Source organism: Homo sapiens, chromosome 3 (assembly GCF_000001405.40).
Source record: "Homo sapiens chromosome 3, GRCh38.p14 Primary Assembly".
NCBI lineage: Eukaryota > Metazoa > Chordata > Mammalia > Primates > Hominidae > Homo > Homo sapiens.
The window spans coordinates 106,053,131-106,071,772 of NC_000003.12; the positions used below are offsets into that span (position 1 = coordinate 106,053,131).

Consider the following 18,642-nt stretch of genomic DNA (forward strand, 5'->3'; position numbering starts at 1 on the left):
GTTGCAGTGAAAGCAGCTGTTATAGAGAAATTTATAAGATTGAATGAATATATTAGAAAAGCGAAGGATCTAAAATGAATAATGCAATCTCCAACTTTAGAAAACTAGAAAGAGTATATTATATCCAAAGTAAGCAGAAGAAAAAAAATAATAAAAATTAGAGAAGACACCAGTGAAATTAAAAATAAGAAATAAAAAAATTATCAAAATCAAAAGGTGGTTATTAGGAAAGATCAATAAAATCAATAAACCCTTAGCATAAATATAAAATGCAAAACCATAAAACTCCTAGAAAATAATATAGAAGAAAATCTAGATTATCTAATTAAGAAAAATGAGAAAAGACACAAATTATTCATGTCAGAAAAGAGAGAAAGAACATCACTATAGGTTGCATGGATACTAAATGAATAATAAAAAAATTATGAACTTGTCCTCGTACACAAATTTGATAACCTAGATGAAATAGACCAATTCTATAAAATGCACAATCTGCCAAAACTTAGAGAAGAAGAAATAGATCATCCGAATAGGCATATATATTATAGAAATGGAATCAACAATTAATAATCTTCCAAAACAGAAAATGCCAGGCTCAAATGAGTTTACTGGTAAATTCTACCAAATATTTTAAGTAGAAATTATGTCAGTTCTCTACAATCAATTCCAGAAAGTAGAAGCAGGAGGAACACTTTCAAATTCATTCTATGAGGCCAGCATTATCCTAATAACAAAACCAAAGACATTACAACAAAAGTTACAGATTAATTTCTCTTATTAATACAATGCAAAAAATTCTCAACAAATACTAGCAAATTAAATCCAAAAATGTAAAAATAAAGTATAACCATGATCAAGTAGGATTTATTCCAGTTATGCAAGGCAGTTTCAACTAAAAACCAACTAATGCAATCCACCACATCAACAGACTAGAGATGAAAAATAACATGATAATATCAATAAATACAGGAAAAGCATATAGGAAAATACAACACCTATTGATGATAAAAACTCCCAGAAGACTGGGAACACAGGTGAAACTTCTTCAGTTTGAGAAAGATATCTATGAACAACATGAAGCTAACAATGTACTTAATAATGAGAAACTTGAAGGTTTCTTGCTAAGATCAGGAACAAAGAAAGGATATTCCCTCTCACTATTGCTTTGCCATACAGTACTAAAAGTGCTAGATAATGCTGTAAAAAAAGAAAAGGTAAGCAGATTAAGAAAGAAAAAATACAACTGCTTTTCAGACCACAGACTATGTAAAAATTTTTAAAAATTGACAAAGAAACTCCTGGAACCAAGAGTTATTATAGTAAGATCGCTGGATATAAGGTTAATATACAAAAATCAATCACTTTCTTCTATATGTGCAATAAAAAAGTGGAATTTTAAAGTAAAAACACATTACCATTTATATTAGCACCCCAGAATGAAATACATAGGTGTAAGTCTAACGAAATGTGTACAAAATATCAATGAGAAAAACTGCAAAACTCTGATGAGAGCTATCAGGAGATCGAGACCATCCTGGCTAACACGGTGAAACCCTGTCTCTACAAAAAATACAAAAAATTAGCCGGGCGTGGTGGGGGGTGCCTGTAGTCCCAGCTACTCGGGAGGCTGAGGTAGGAGAATGGCATGAACCCGGGAGGCAGAGCTTGCAGTGATCTGAGATCGCACCACTGCACTCCAGCCTCGGCGACAGCAAGACTCTGTCTCAAAAAAAAAAAAAAAAAAAAAAAAAAGAATTAAATGAAGGTAGAAAGATATTCCATATTCAGCGGTAGAAAGACTCAATGTTGTCAGTATATTAGCTCTTCCAACCTGATCTATAGCTTCAATGCAGTCCCTGTCAAAATTCCAGACAGTTTGTTCATGAATTGATAAACTGGTTAAAAAGTTTTTATAAAGAGGTAGAAGACCTAGAATGACTGACTCAATATTGAAAGAGAAGAACAAAGTTGGAGAACTAACAACAACTTGAAGACTTAAAAGCTACAGTAATCAAGACGGTGGTATTGGCAAAAGAACAGAAAAATAGATCAAATGAACAAAATAGCCTGGAAATAAACCCACATAAATATAGTCAAGAGATTTTTGACAAAGGAGCAAAGACAATATAATGGAGCAAAGATAGTCTTTTCAAAAAATGGCATTGGAACAAGTAAACATCCACATGTCAGAAAAAAAAAAAGGAATCTAGACACAGATCTTACATTCTTCTGAAAGTAAATCAAAACACATTATAAACCTAAATATAAAATGCAAAACTATAACCCTTCTAGAAAATAACATAGGAGAAAACCTAGATGATCTTTAATATGGCAATTATTTTTTAGACACAACACCAAAAGCATAATCCATGAAAGACATAATTGATAAGCTGGACTTTATTAAAATTAAAAAATTCTGCTCTTTGAAGGACAGTGTCAAGAGAATGAGAAGACAAGTCATAGGGAGAAAATATTTGCAAAAGACATGTCTCATAAATGACTGTTATCCAAAATATATGAAAAAGTTTAAAACTCGACAGTAAGAAAATGAGCAACCTGATTGAATAATGAGCAAAACACCTGAACAGACACCAAACCAAAGAAGATATACAGATGACAAGTAAGCATATAAAAAGATGTTCAATGACATATGTTTATGGCATTAGAGAAATGCAATAAAACAACAACAGTGTACCATTACACTTATTAGAATAGCAAAAACCCAGAACATTGACAATATCCATTGCTGGCAAGAATGTGGAGCAACAGGAACTCTCATTCATTGCTAGTGGGAATACACAATGGTATAGCCACTTTGGAGGGCCATTTAGCAGTTTTGTATAAAACTAAACATATTCTTACCACACAATATAGCAATTGCACTTCTTTGTGCACCTGCTCACAGATGTTTATAGCAGCTGTATTCATAATTGCCCAAACTTGAAAGCCTTCAAACCATCCTTTGGTATATGAGTGGATAAATAAACAGTAGCACATCTAGACAATGGGATATTATTCAGTACTAAAAAAGTGAGCTATATATAAAGCCACGAAAAGATATGGAGAAAAGTTAAATGCATATTACTAAGTGAAAGAAGCCAATCTAAAAAATATGATTCCAAATAAATGACATTCTGGAAAAGCCAAAATTATGGAAGTGTAAAAGAGATTAGTGGCTGCCAGGGGTTGGGGGTGGTGAGGGAGGAGAAGCAGATAAATAGGCTGAGCACGGAGTATTTTTAGGGCAGTAAAACTATCCTGTATAATATTACAATGATGGATGTATGTCATTATCTATTTTTCAGAATGTATAGAATTTATAACATCAAATGTGAATCCTTATATATACTGTGGACTTTGATTGGTAATGATGGGCCAATGTAGGTTCATTTTAACAAATGTACCACTCTGCTAAGGGATGTTGACAGTGGGGAAAGGGAGCTTTGTGTGGATGGGGTTAAGTGTATATGAAAACCTCCTGTACTTTCTGAACAGTTTTGGGAGAAACTGAAACTGCTCTAATAAATATAACTTATTAATTAAAAAATAAATGGAAATTGTAATGCTTACTTGACCATAGAGGTGAGTATGTATATTGGAATATGTGAGAGCAATACAAATGTAAATAATTAAGTTGTTGTAGATTCAAGATAATCATAAAATTGATAAGTTTGTTAACACTTGTGTAATTTAGACATAAAGAAAAAATCCATGACGTAAGAGAATATTAATGCAACTATTTTTCATTAAAAATTATCTAAAAAGTGAGATGATCATGTCCTGGTAATAGTTACATTGTTGTTCTAGAGAAAGCATTATGAGCTTTTATGAAACATTTCTGAGTTTTAAAAAATCGATGCTTCCAATTTGAAAAAAGTGCTGGTAGAAAAAGATGTCAATAGAGAAACAGCTCAATGATCTTTAAATTGTGTTTGTAGGCCTCCCTTGGGCAATAGTTTTGAAAATCTTGACATTCCGAGTGTTTCTTTATGGGTTCTGAAGATCTCTGGCAGAACCAAGCATCAGAAGTATTTCAGACAGCTAAAGAGTTGTAGCCTTTATCCTCAAGGCACATGTCATTTTTAATCATGTCTGACTTTTCCTTCATTTTCTAGTCTAAAACGGGACCAGTTTCTAACACTTAAAATAAGTACAGAGCTCTCTTGCTCTAGGATCTATGCTAAATATAGTATAAACATTTTTTTTTTTCAGTGAAAGCTTCTATCTGATTGTCTTTGTTTTTATCAGCTTTAATTGTTCAAATCTATTATTCTAAATTATTTTCATCTTGGGAATTAATGATTACTTAACAGTCATTTGGAATATGTTTTATGAGGCATTTAAACAGCCTACAGATGTGACATGGTATTTACATCAATGTGCATTTTCATAAAAAGTTTATGCTTCTATTTTAGTTTTCAGCAGTAACTGCCTATTTTAATTCAAATAATTAATTTGAATTAATTCAAATTAACTCCATTACAAATGGTCTGATAAGGTTTTTCTAGCAGCTTGGTGTGAGGGAAGGAGGTATGGTTTGGTTAATAGGTACTCAGTAACCTGGCTACACTATTTTGGTGGAATAAAAACTATTTAACTTGGTTTTTACCCTGACAAACAATTGAGTATCTACATGTTATATAAAATTATTAAAATCATGTCAGATTGTTGGTTATTGTTAATTTTAGGATTTAGCCTTGGAGAATCAAGAGATAATGTTAGGGTTTAACAGCATCTCTCTATTGTTTTCACATAATCTGAAATAAGGAAAGTCAGTGAAAAGATGAACAGGAGAGTCAGAACTATGGAGAAGCATTTGAGAACACATATATGAATAAAGGGTGTTGATAATTTTGGTTAGATGAGTATGTAGTATCAGGATTATAGTTCAAATGAAAGTTAACATATATGAAATCTGAGAAGATTGCTGCTCCATTGGTTCTTTATTTCTCCAATTATAGGTCATCATATTTAAAGCTAACATAGAGTTACGGAGAATGAAGTGAATGTCCTGGTGGCCTTGTATGATACTCCCAGTTATGAATTCTGAGATAACGGGTTAATCTGGAGTCCTATTTTTGTGAGTGTTTAATTGCTTCCTGAGAGCAAGGAAATATAGAGCCCAATAATCTGTCCCCTTAGAACATGAGAGAAAGAAGAAATGACTCTGATAAGGTTATGCAAGAGGTCATCCTGAGGATGACAGTGGAGTGGGGGATTTTTAAGCTTGTTTTCTTACCTGAAACAGTAGCTTATGATCAATAAGGAAAATATGCATTAGTTTGTAACCTTTAATTCTCTTTGATTTTATTTCTATAGAACTCCTTCAATTACCTAATAAACAAGACTATAAAACTGAAACCTCGGGTGGCAATCTGGAAACCTAAAGGTCTGCAAGAGTTGGAAGGAAAAAAAAAGTTTCCTCTCTTTGTGGCAGTAGATCTAGCTCAAGAAATGAGGAGTGAGGTGTGGTAGTCTCTGTGTTTTGTGAGTAGCAAGAGAGCAAGTCAGCAGGCATGTTGGAGAGTGAGCCTGGGAAGCATGCAGAGCGGGAAGAGCTAGAGGGTTCAGAGGCCCTTTCATAATAGTAAGGACAGGGCTCAGAAGCCAGCATAGCCTAGGCAACAAACAAACAAATAAATCAACCAAAGCAAGTCCTAGAGAATTATCAAATATTTGTTGAATTGAATTAAAATAGGTAGTTAAAATGAAAATCAGTATTGGTTTATTAACTTTATGAAGGTTAGTATTGGTTTATTAACTTTAGATCAGGTTTATTTAAGGACTTATTATTACACAGTGCTTAGACTTTTATCCTTTGCCTTTGGAGTGGGCATTTTATGCATCAACATGCCTAATGCTTGTTAGGGATTAGTGGAATTAACAGAGCATCACCTGGTTGGCCTCTGGTGCCCCCTTCTCAGTTGATATAGGCCCAAATCATCTCATAGAGTCTATAACCTCACAGGATAAGAGGAGAGAATTATCCATTCTACACTCTATACTAATAAGCTTCCAAAACTTATATTATCTTTGGAAATCCTTGCCTCTTACCTGAAGGATAAAGTGGCTGAGGGTATGGAGGCTAGTTTTCAGTGTTTTATGACAATGTTAAACAACAATGATTTTCCTCCATAATAATCACCTAGATGACGGGTTGATGAGTGCAGCAAACCACCGTGGCACATGTATACCTATGTAACAAACCTGTACGTTCAGCACGTGTATCCCAAAACGTAAAGTAAAAAACAAAACAAAACAAAACAAAACAAAACAAAAACAAAAAAACCCACAAGTATGCCACAAACACGCAATAGAATGAAATAAATAATCACCCAAGGGCACAATGCTATGGTTATTTTCTTGACCTCATTTCACACAATTCTTTGAAAAAGACTTGAATATTATTCTTAGATAATTTCTCACTAGCCTGCACAGAAACCTTATAATTTTGAGTTTTAAAGTTTCTACCCTGAAATTTTAGCAAAAAATTTTCCCCCAAGAACTGCTGGCAAAAAAAATCCAACATCTTTACCATTACCTTACGCTTCTTACCAAGTTAACATTGTTATGATAAATAGCATCAGATGCTGTATGCTTGGAATTGTTTTTAATAAATCAATTTCCATTATGATGCTCTTTAAATATGGAAATACAAAGTGTTGCTAGCAAAGATAGTCTGCTAGTTTATTAAAATTAAATTTATTAAAATTCAGAGGTGGCTAAAAGAGGAATGTTACTGGCTTATCAACATTTGAAGCTTTCAGTTTTTTCCTACAAGATTTATTTATTATACAAGCACAAAGGATTAGATGAAAGGGGAAAGTTTTATCTCGAGTTGCCCAGGTATGCATCTTTAGAAAGGCTGTGTAAATTTGTGTGTAGAGGAGATGAAGTAGGGAGTGCTGTTATTGCTCCTCAAAACAAACTAAACTGGATTTATCTTCATTGCCACAATAAGATAAGAAAGTTGGTCAGAGGAAAAAGTTATCAGGAAGAGTTAAGTTGCAGACCTCTCACTTCAAAGAATCTCAACTCATCAGGGTTGCAGCAAACCAGTCAAATCAGATCTGAGGCTTCCACACAGAGGGGCCCTTCAAAGACTTGCCTTAAAACTGTTGGGTCTCCTCAGATCATTGTTCCTGCAGTGACTTCCTTGGCATTGATATTAGTGTCCTCTGTCCCTGCCGAATGCTGCACACAATCCTGCAGTGGTGAGTGAAACAATACAGAAATAGACTCTCTAGAATAAGCTGCTCATTCAAAAAAGCAGAATCAAAATGCATATAAAACACAACAGACCACATTTTTATCTTCTCTCTAGTAGAACACCTGCTTTGATCATCCAGTGATAGGGAGTCTATGGACCTGAAAGAAAACAATTCTGTTATGTTATGAATGCATTCATTCATTGTTATTTTATTATGAAATATAAGATTGTGTTCCTTGTTATTGATATGAAGTCTTTTTCTAAACTTCCATACATTGATCTATGCTTGCTTTGAGGTTGCTAATTTTAAAGTAATTCTGGTTTTGCTTTTATAAGCACCTCTTCTATATTTAAGGACTGCTCTCCTATTCTCAGAAAGTATTCCCAATTCCAGTATAAACATCCTAGTGTCTTGTAACATTTCTTACATAAAATGGCAAGGTCTCTTAGTGTTATAGTCACCATTCTCAAAAGTCTCTACAGTTTTATCACAGTTCATTTAAAACATGGTAATCAGAAATAAATATAATACACAGTACAGTTCAGGGAAGAGGTAAAGCAAAATGGTGGAACAGAAGGTTCTGCTCCTCCCTCAAGGACACCAATTTAACAACTGTCTACACAGTAAAAACATCTTCATAAGAACCAGAAATCAGATGAGCCTTCCTCATACCTGGTTTCATCTTTGTATCACTGAAATAGGCACAGAAGATATAGAAAAAACAAACAGCCTTAAATTGCTGATACCACTCGTCCACCAAACCCAGCTGCCAAGGCGTGGTGCAAAGAGCATCTCTGGGCCCTGCGGGAGGGCAAACACAGCAACTGGGAGACAATGAACTCAGTGCTGTCCTATTAGAGCAGAATGGAAGACCAGACCGAATTCATCTGACACCCACCCATGGAGGGAGCATTTATACTCGCACTAACCAGAGGGCAGTTGCCAATTCCGGAGGTCTGAACGTGACTTCCCACAAACTCTGCCACCAAGGGCCACAGTGCTCTGCGTCTCTAAGTAAACTTAAAAGGTAGTGTAGGCCATAAGGACTGCAATTCTTAGGTAAGTTCTAGTCCTCAAATGAGCCCAGACACAGTGGATTCGGTGGAGTGCATGCGACCTGAGACATCAGCCAAGGTGGTTAAGGGAATGCTGGCATCACCCCCCTCCTAATCCCAGACTGCTTCACAAGAGATCCCTTCCTTCTGCTTGAGGACAGGAGAGGGAAGAGTGGGGAGAACTTTGTCTTGCATCTTGGATACCAGCTCAGCCACAGCAGGATAGGGCACTGATCTGATTTGTGAGGCCCTCATTCCAAGACCTAGCTCCTGGAAGACATTTCTAGACACACTCTTGGTGAAAAGGGCACCCACTACCTTGAAGGGAAGGACCCAGTTCTGGCAACATTCATCATTTGCTTACTGAAGAGCTCTTGGGCCCCGAATAACCAGCAGCAATACCCAGGTACTATACTGAGGGCCTTGAGTGAGGCTGTGAGTCTTCCCTGTTTCAGGTGAGATACAGCACATCATCAGCCGCGGTGGCTGTGGGGTGAAACTCCTTCGGCTTGTGAAAAGCAGAGGCAAAAGTAAAGGGGAATTTGTCTTACACCTTATGTACCATCATGGCCATGGGGACGTAGAGCACCAAGCAGCCTCTTGGAGTCCCAATTCCAGGACTTGACTCGTGGATGGCATTTCTGGACTTGTCCTTGGCCAGAGGGGAGCCCCCTGTCCTGAAGAGTGAATCCAGGCAGAATTCATCTTGGGCTTTAAGGGAATATTTGCAGTAGTCTTGCAGTACTCCCTGTGGCTTGTGGTGGCAGTGGGTATGGGATGAAGCTCCTCTACCTTTGGAAAGAGTGGGAAGAGCTGCATCTTGTGGTGTGAGTGCCAGCTCAGCTGCAGTACAGTAGAACACCAGGTAGACTTTTAGGGATTTTGGCTCTGGTTCCTGTCTCCTGGATAGCATCTCTGGACCCCACCCAGGGCCTGGGAGAGCTCGCTGCCCTGAAGGGAAGGACACAGGCCTGGCTGGCTTTGCTGCCTGCTGAATGCAGAGGCCCAGGGCCTTGAGTGAACATAGGCAGTAGCCAGGGAGTAGTTACAGTATCTCTTGTGTGAGATCCAGGGCTGTGCTGGCTTCACATCTGACCCAGCATAGTCATAGTGGTGGTGGCCATGGGAGTGCTTGTGTCACTCTACTACAAGCTTTAGGTGGCTCAGAACAGAGAGATGAGACTGTTTGTTTAGAAGAAAGTAAGAGACGAGAGCAAGAGTCTCTGCCTAGTAATACAGATAATTCTCCCACATTTTGTCTAAGACAATCAAGGTGGTACCCCTACAAGTCTGCAAGAATCACAGTATTATGGGACTTGAGGTGCCTCCAAAAGCAGAAACAGCTTATATCACAACACTCAAGTCCTTTCAAATACCTGAAAAGCCTTCACAAAAAGAATGGGTACAGATAAGCCAAGACAATGAAGACTACAATAAACACCTAACTCTTCAATGGCCAGACACCAAAGAACATCTACTAGCATCAGCACCATCCAGGAAAAGATGGCCTCACCAAATGAACTACATAAGGCACCAGGGACCAATCTTGGAGAAACAGAGATGTGTGACCGTTCAGAGACAGGATTTAAAATAGCTACGTTAAAGAAACTAAAAAATATTAAAGATGACACAGAGGAGGAATTCGGAATGCTATTAGATACATTTAACAAAGAAATTGAAATAAAAAGAATCAAGCAGAAATTCTGGAGCTGAAAAATGCAATTGGCGTACTTAAGAATCAAAGTCATTTAATTGCAGAATTGATCAAGGAGAAGAGAGAATTAGTAAGCCTGAAAACAAGCTATTTGAAAATACATAGTCAAAGGAGACAAAGGACAAGACTAAAAAACAGAGAAGCACACCTATGAGATCTAAAAAATAATCTCAAAAGGGCAAACCTAAGAGTTATTGGCCTTAAAGAGGAGGCAGAGAAAGAGATAGAGGTAGAAAGTTTATTCAAAGGGATAATAACCATAAAGAAAATCTGGGACTCAATGACTTCATTGCTGAATTCTACCAAACATTTAAATAACTAATAACAATCTCACTCAAACTTTTCCAGAAAATAGAGGAGGAGGTAATACTTCCAAACTCATTCTACAAGGCCAGTATTACCCTGATGCCAACACCAGACAAAGACACATCAAAAACAAAACAAACAAAACAAAACTGCAGGTCAATATACCTGACAAATATTGACACAAAAATCATGAACAAAATACTGGTAAAACAAATTCAACAATACATTAGAAAGATCATTCATTATGACCAGGTAGGATTTATCCCTGGGATTCAAGTATAGTTCAACATACACAAATCAATCAGTGTGATACATCATATCAACAGGATGAAGGATAAAAACCATATCATCATTTAAATTGATGCTGAAAGAGCATTTGAAAAAATTCAACATTGCTTTGTGATTAAAAAAACTTAAAGAACTGGTATAGAAGGAACATATCTCAACATAATAAAAGCCATATATGATAGACCCACAGTTAGTATTATACTGAATGAGGTAAAACTGAAAGCCTTTCTTCTAAGATCTGGAACATCACAAGGATGCTCACTTTCATCGCTGTTATTCAACATCATACCAGAAGTCCCACCTACAGAAGTCAGACAAGAGAAAGATATAAAGGGCATCCAAATTGCAAAGGAAGAGATCAAATATCCTTGTTGTATCCTAATACAAGATGACGTAATCTTGTATTAGGAAAAACCTAAACAGTCCACAAAATAGCTATTAGAACTGATAAACAAATTCAGTAAAGTGGCAGGATACAAAATCAACATACAAAAATCAGTAACATTTCTATATGTCAACAGCGAATAATGTGAAAAAGAAATTAAAAATGTAATCTCATTTATAATGTGATAATTCCTTACCAAGGAATTAGTAAAATAAGTGGAAGATCTCTATAATGAAAACTATAAAACACCGATGAAAGAAATTGAAGAAGACACAAAAAAATGGAAAATTATTTCATGTTATTGGATTGAAAGAATAAATATTGTTAAAATGTCCATACTACCCAAAGAAATATACAGTTTCAATGCAATCCCTATCAAAATACCAATGGGATTCTTCACAGAACTAGAGAAAACAATCCTAAAATTTCCATAGAACCACAAATGACACAGAATAGCCAAAATGAAGCTAAGCAAAAATAACAAAACTGGAAGAATCACATTACCTGACTTGAAAGTATGCTACAGAGCTATTATAATCCAAACAGCATGGTACTGGTGTAAAAACAGACATACAGACCAATGGAACAGGATAGAGAATGCAGAAAAAAATCCACACACCTACAGTGAACTCATTTTTGACAAAAGTGCCAAGAACATACATTGGGGAAATGACAGTCTCTTCAATAAATAGTGCCAGACTAGATACCCAGATGCAGAATGAAACTAGACCCCTGTCTCTCACCATATTAAAAAATCAAATAAAATGGGTTAAAGATTTAAATCTAATATCTCAAACTATAAAACTACTACAAGAAAACATTGAAGAAAATATCCAGGACATTGGTCTGGACAAAGATTTCTTGAGCAACACCCCACAAGCACAGGCAACCAAGGCAAAAATGAACAAATGGGATCACATCAAGTTAAAAAACTTCTGCACAACAAAGGTTACAATCAACAAATTGAAGAGACAACACACAGAATGGGAGAAAATATTTGTGAACTACCCATCTGAGAAGGGATTAATAACCAGAATATATAAGAACCTCAAATATCTCTATAGGAAAAAAATCTAATAATCCAATTAAAAAATGAGCAAAATATTTGAATAGACATTTCTCAAAATAAGACATATAAATGGCAAACAGGCATATGAAAAGGTGTCCAACAATCATTTATCATCAGAGAAATGCAAATCAAAACTACAATGAGATATCATCTCACCCTAGTTAAAATGGATTACATTCAAAAGACAGGCAATAATAAATTCTGGTAAGGATGTGCAGTAAAGGGAACCCTTGTACACTGTTGGTGGGAATGTAAACTAGTACAACCACTATGCAGAACAGTTTGGAGGTTCCTCAAAAATACTAAAAACTGGCCCAGCGCAGTGGCTTACGCCATTAATCCCAGCACTTTGGGAGTCCGAGGCGGGCAGATCACGAGGTCAAAGATTGAGACCATCCTGGCCAACATGGTGAAACCCTGTCTCTACTAAAAATACAAAAATTAGCTGGGCGTGGTGGCGCATGCCTGTAATCTCAGCTACTCAGCAGGCTGAGGTAGGAGAATCACTTGAACCCGGAGGTGGAGGTTGCAGTGAGCCAAAATCACACCATTGCACTCCAGCCTGGGTGACAAGAGCAAAACTCTGTCTCAAAAACAAAAACAAAACAAACAAAAAAAAAACCTAAAACTAAAAACTGAGCTACCATATGATCCAGCAATCCCACTGATGGGTATATATCTAAAAGAAAGAAAATCAGTCAGTAGAAGAGATATCTGAACCTTTATGTTTGTTGCAGCACTGTTTACAATAGCTAAGATTTGGAAACAACTGAAACATCCATTAACAGATGAATGAATAAAGAAAATGTGGTACATGTACACAATAGAGTAAATAGTCATCTTTAAGAGAGTAAATATTTATCCTTAAAAGAGTAAATATTCATCCTTAAAAGAGAATGAGATCCAGCTATTTGCAGCAACATGAATGGAGCTGGAGATTATTATGTTAAGGGAAAGAAGTCAGGCACAGAAAGACAAACATTGCATGTCTTTACTTACTTGTGGGATCTAAAAAACAAAACAACTGATTAACATAGAGACTAGAAGGATGGTTACCAGAGGATGAAAAGAGTACTAGGGGTATAGGTGGGGAGGTGTGGATGTTTAATGGGTACAAAAAAATAGGAAGAAAGAATAATATTTACTATTTGGTGGCACAACAGAGTGACTACAGTCAATAATAACTTAATTGTACGTTTAAAAATAACTATAAGAGTATAATTGGATTGTTTGTAATATAAAGGATAAATGCTTGAGGGGATGGATACACCATTCTTCATGATGTGCTTATTTCACATTGCATACCTGTATCAAAACATCTCATGTACCCATAAATGTATATACCTACTATGTACTCACAAAAATAAAAAAATACATATATTAACAAAATACACTACATATGATCTGACCAATATTGAGTGCACAGGTCTAAGTTCATTCTTTCCTCTTTTAGTATAGATTAGGAGTTTATGAATGTTTTTGGTAACCAGTTGCATATATTGGCTTATACTGAGTTTTAGGTAACTAAAATGCTTATTTCTTTTTCTAAGTGAATTATTTAACTGATTTACTTGAAGAGTAATGCAGAATATTACATTTATTAAATTTTACCTTGCTGGTTTTGGCCTTGATCTTGACTTGATAATTCTGGATTATTTGTTATCATCTGTGTACTTATATAGAAATATAAAACAAGAAGAAATAGTGAGTCTTGCTGTTCCAATAGAAAATAACCTGTACGTTGTCTTAATCCTCTTTACATAAGATTTTTTCAACTGGCTACAAATCCAGTAAGTTCATATATTGTTCTAGCTTATCTTACATGGACAATTCCTCAGATGCCTTGTTGAACAGACTGTCATGTCTTTACAGTATCCATACTGCTTCCTGGTGAGTACCAGCTTAACAAATCATGTATTTAAAATCCCACTCTAAATGTTTTCATGTATGTGTGTCATAGTTTTGGACCCTCTTTCTAGAATTCAGATTTATTATAAAGAGAATTCATATTTTATCTTTTTTGAGACCAACAAGATAGGTTTTAAACCTAACCAAACTATCATTAATAGCTTTTCCATAGTGATGTATGCAAATTCCTTCCCACACCTTGGACTATATAATTCATGATAAATTGCATGAGGGATCTGGGGCTTGAATCTGAATATAATAGTGTGATTTTAATTGGGGTCACTTAGAATGTTTGTAATATCAGTTAAATGACTTACATTCTTCGTGACTTGGTCTATAAGGATGATGAATATGAAAGCACTGATCGCAGTAACTATCAACCTTGGATTTAAATATATATACAATATATAATGTACCCATCTTTACACTTTTTCCTAAATTCAGCCAGATAATTAATTTTATGGAATATTGCTAGATAGCATATTTCCTCTACCTCCCCATTCATAGTACCTTTGGGAATAACTACTACTAGTCACAACTAAAATATTAATTAAATGGAAATTTGGCTAGACATCATGGCTCACACCTGTAATCCCAGTGCTTTGGAAGGCCAAGGAGATAAGATCATTTGATACCAGGAGTTAAGAGCAGCTGGGGCCACGTAGGGAGACCCTGTGATATGGTTTGGATTTGTCTCCACCCAAATCGCATGTTGAATGTTGCAGGTGGGGCCTAGTGGAAGGTGATTGCATCATGGGGGCAGTTTCTAATGGTTTAGTGCCATCCTCCCAGTGTTGTTCTCATAATAGAGTTCTCACAAGATCTGATTGTTTACAAGGCTGTAGCACCTCTTTTCGCCCTCTCTTTCACCTGCTCCAGCTATGGTGTGAAGCACTGGTTCCCCTTTCACCTTCCTGTCATGATTGTAAGTTTTCTGAGGCCTCCCTAGAAGCTGAACAGATGCTGCCATGCTTTCTGAACAGCCTGTAGAACCATGAGCCAATTTAACCTCTTTTCTTTATAAATTATTCAGTCTCAAGTATTTTTTATAGCAATGTAAGAATGGACTAATACACCCTATTTCTACAAAGAATAATAAAACAGAATTATCTGGGTGTGGTGGTGCATGCCTCTAGTTCTAACTACTGCACTCCAGCCTGGGTGACAGAGCAAAGCCCTGTCTCTAAAAAACAAACAAAAACCAAAAAAGGTGGTGGGGGAAATACTACCTAAATTATAAAAAATTAATAGCATCATCTACATATAGACTCAAAATTCTTGGAAAAACTCACCAATGGCTTGTTCATTTTTTCATGCAGTGTAGTGAGGTTTGAGATACCCTTACTTCTTTTTTTAGTCTCTTAGCATTTCCTAGAATTTTAATGCATGTGCTAAGCCTAGGAATTTTCTTTTCAGTTATTCTCATTTGAGTCCCAGTCCTTCTCTCTTTTGGCACTGGCCCCAGATCATTGTTTCCCTTTCCTTGCCAAAGGTTACCCATTACTGCTTACTTTCTGTGCCAATTCTACAACTGAAATATTCTTGTTCACAAAAGCTCTAAGTCACCAGAGGGTAGGCCTTAACTCATTTCAATGGCAATTTCCATCATATTTCTGATGTTCTCATATCCTTTTGTATTTGGAGCAGAGACTATAAGTGCTTCAACATACCATTTTAGAGTATAGTCACAAATCCATCTAACTACATATCGTTTTAGAGATTAGTACTATGTTTTGGTAGAGTTTCAGAAGAAAAAACCACAGCTGACATTAAGATTGGCAAAGCTTTGAACAATACAGCTATAAATAATTCTTTCAAGGGTGTCCTCTGTTATGAGGATAACACCTTCACAGCCTATCTGTATGTCATTCTCTCCAAAGTGGTTTCATACTTTGGTAAGCATCTTTCTCTTTCCCTTTTGACGTCTCCAGGCACTCAGTTGCAACACATAGAAGGCCATGTTTTGAAGAATGAAAGCAATTTTCGGCCCAGAATTCTGGCTTGCTTTCCCTATCATTTTCTCTTAGAATTGAGTAATCTTTGAATTGTTCCAGAAAATATGAAAATGAACACTGTCAGTGTGGGACCCTGTTCAACACACTTAAAGATTTTGAATCACAATCTTGCTCATGTTTGGGTTTTGCATGCAATTTACATCAGACTAGAAAGATGTACGTAATAAGGATGGCAATGGCCTTCCTATTTGATAACAATAAAAACAATAATTGTTTTTTTATTTTTCCTAAAGTGAAAATTCTTTAAGCCAATTGATGGAACTAGGGATTATTGGTATTATTAAGGTATTATAAAGGGAGTGTTGATACAAACCTAATCTTTTAAGTAAAATATTGCTTCAGTGGATTGAACTGGAGATTATTGGTTATACAAAGGGCACAATAAGGCTGTGTGTCTCTGTTACAAGCCTAAATCTTTTTAATAAAGTATTTTAGACCACCATGTTTTCACATTTGCTTTTGAATAGGTAATGGCTACCATTATGCTCTTTCATGATAAATTTTCAGAGTGATCCCTAAAGGCCATTGCATTAAAATATGAGAGTGAGTGGGAGTGATCTGTACCCTTGACTCTTATTTTTATTAGCATTAGATGATTCCTCTTAATACTTTCCACTTGAGTGGCCATTATAAAATTATAACTTTTCGGATGGAAATTTTTTAAATCACAGAAAAAAGAAATGGAGTGTACAAAAGTGGAAACTACTCATGCAGGAAGTGCCTTTCTTGCCTGGGGAATGCTATAATTTTCTGGGAAATATTGTCATAAAACACTTGATATTTTTAGAATGCTTTTACCATCAAAAACCTGCTACATTTTAACACCGCCTCGCTCCTCTTTTATTGCAAAAAGAAAATTCCAAGTTTCATATGTTTTAAATAAATGATTACCTTCATGCTCTCCTTTTCTTGCTTCCCATTCTCTGAGTTTGTTATTACTTGGGTCTTTCCTTGGCTTTTTGTGGAGAATAAGGTTGTGCCTGGCATACATCAAACATCGACAGCAAGTGCATTAAGTCTTGGATGTGAATGGCGTCATTTCAGCTGATGATGTCAGCCTAATGAGCACATATCCTGACTTTTGAACTTTATTAAAGCATTCCAAATTTATGTCTTTCATATATATATGAAAAAAATGTGATTTTTAAAAATATGAATAATCAGTCTTTAAAATAGCGGGCCTTCTAAACACAGAGAAAAATTAGTGTGATCACTACTCTCACAAATTTTATTTTAAAATAAAATGATAACAAGGACAAGAACAAACAGGGACTTTCTGATTCTGAGAATGGAAACCCACATACAAGCCCTCTAGGGACAGTGTACGCAGATAAAAACAGTGAGAGTGGAATTTTCCTGAGTTTTATTTCTATAAATAATTAACCGAATATACTTATATAAATAAATACTTCCCTCTGGGAATTTCAGCATCATTTGAAATTTCTGAATACTAATTTTGGTTTTAGCCTCTACTCCCTATTCTCATTTTTGGCATATTTCTCTCTCCTTGTCTTTTAAGGAGAAATCTTCCATTTTCTGAAAGAAATAAAAGAGAAATTGCATAATAGTCAAAACTAATGTTTGTTATTAAGAGCAAAATGGAATTACTATAAAGGGAGGCATGACAAAGAGTCAGGGAAAAATAACTTTACCACTGAAAATCCACAAACCTCTGGGGTTACAATTCCTAGGGAATCCCTCTGTTTCATTTTAATCTTGGGCCTTTATTCCATCACACTTTTCTTAATAAAGGAATATCACTAAACTACTAGAAGTAGCTTTTATATCAGTCATATTCTCTTCATTTTTCAATTAGTTACTGTTTTTGTAATATTGTAGAGAAAACCATGGGAGTTAGCCTATACTTCAACCATCAAGAAGTCAAAGAAAAGTCCAGCACTTTGGGTGGCCGAGGTGGGCGGATCACGAGGTCAGGAGATTGAGATCAGTCTGGCTAACCTGGTGAAACCCCATCTCTAGTAAAAATACAAAAAATTAGCCGAGCGTAGTGGCGGGAGCCTATAATCCCAGCTACTCCGAAGCCTGAGGCAGGAGAATCACTTGAACCCGGGAGGCGGAGGTTGCAGTGAGCCGAGATCGCGCCACTGCACTCCAGCCTGGGCGACAGAGTGAGACTCCGTCCAGAGTGAGACTCCGTCTAAAAAAATAAAAAAAGAAGTCAAAGAAGACAAGTGTTCTATTCTCTTATTTCTGAAGTCATGATAGCCTCCTTTTTCACCCTATTATGATTTGACACGAAAGAAAAACAGATGAAAGACTGTTAAACACTTACTTCCATAAATAAGGCATTTAGCTAGTACTAGGAATAAAAGCAAAATAAGCAAGAAGACTACATTGTTTTGGCAGTAAGTCATCTAAAATAGCTGAGAGAGTCATAGAAACTGGAATATATAATTCACAAAGGTTTGCTAAGTGTATGAGCAGCGGATTTCCACTTATCGGAACTCTGTAAATCATGTGTTCCCTAAAATTGTTTAAATCCGTTTCATAACTTCATTAAGGGAGCTCTTTGTAAAAGGAGTTCTGTGTAAATTCTTTTGGATTGTGAGTAATCACTTCTTCATTGATCTGTTCTGGAAGTCAGAATTGAGTTAGTCATATTTTCTTAAATCATAGGATTACCCACGTCGTAAAAAAGCTACATTTCTCAGAAGATCCCCCTGAACTACT

At 35.9% G+C, this 18,642-nt stretch overlaps 1 long non-coding RNA gene across 1 annotated transcript, besides 1 other annotated feature; it reads right to left on the reverse strand.

The window, feature by feature from the left end:
• Positions 1 to 7,291: 7,291 nt before the first annotated feature.
• On the reverse strand, positions 7,292 to 17,053 carry LOC105374026 (uncharacterized). The gene is made up of 3 exons (XR_924310.3): positions 16,843 to 17,053; positions 13,640 to 13,701; positions 7,292 to 7,368 (listed from the first exon to the last, which is right to left on the reverse strand). It is a non-coding gene; the product is annotated as an uncharacterized LOC105374026 (long non-coding RNA).
• Positions 15,292 to 15,586: a silencer, noted in NCBI's record as "tiled region #7303; HepG2 Repressive non-DNase unmatched - State 24:Quies". NCBI's record gives its function as "represses a minimal TATA promoter and a strong SV40 promoter by Sharpr-MPRA in HepG2 cells {active_cell/tissue: HepG2}" and the evidence as "EXISTENCE:reporter gene assay evidence [ECO:0000049][PMID:27701403]".
• Positions 17,054 to 18,642: the final 1,589 nt, after the last annotated feature.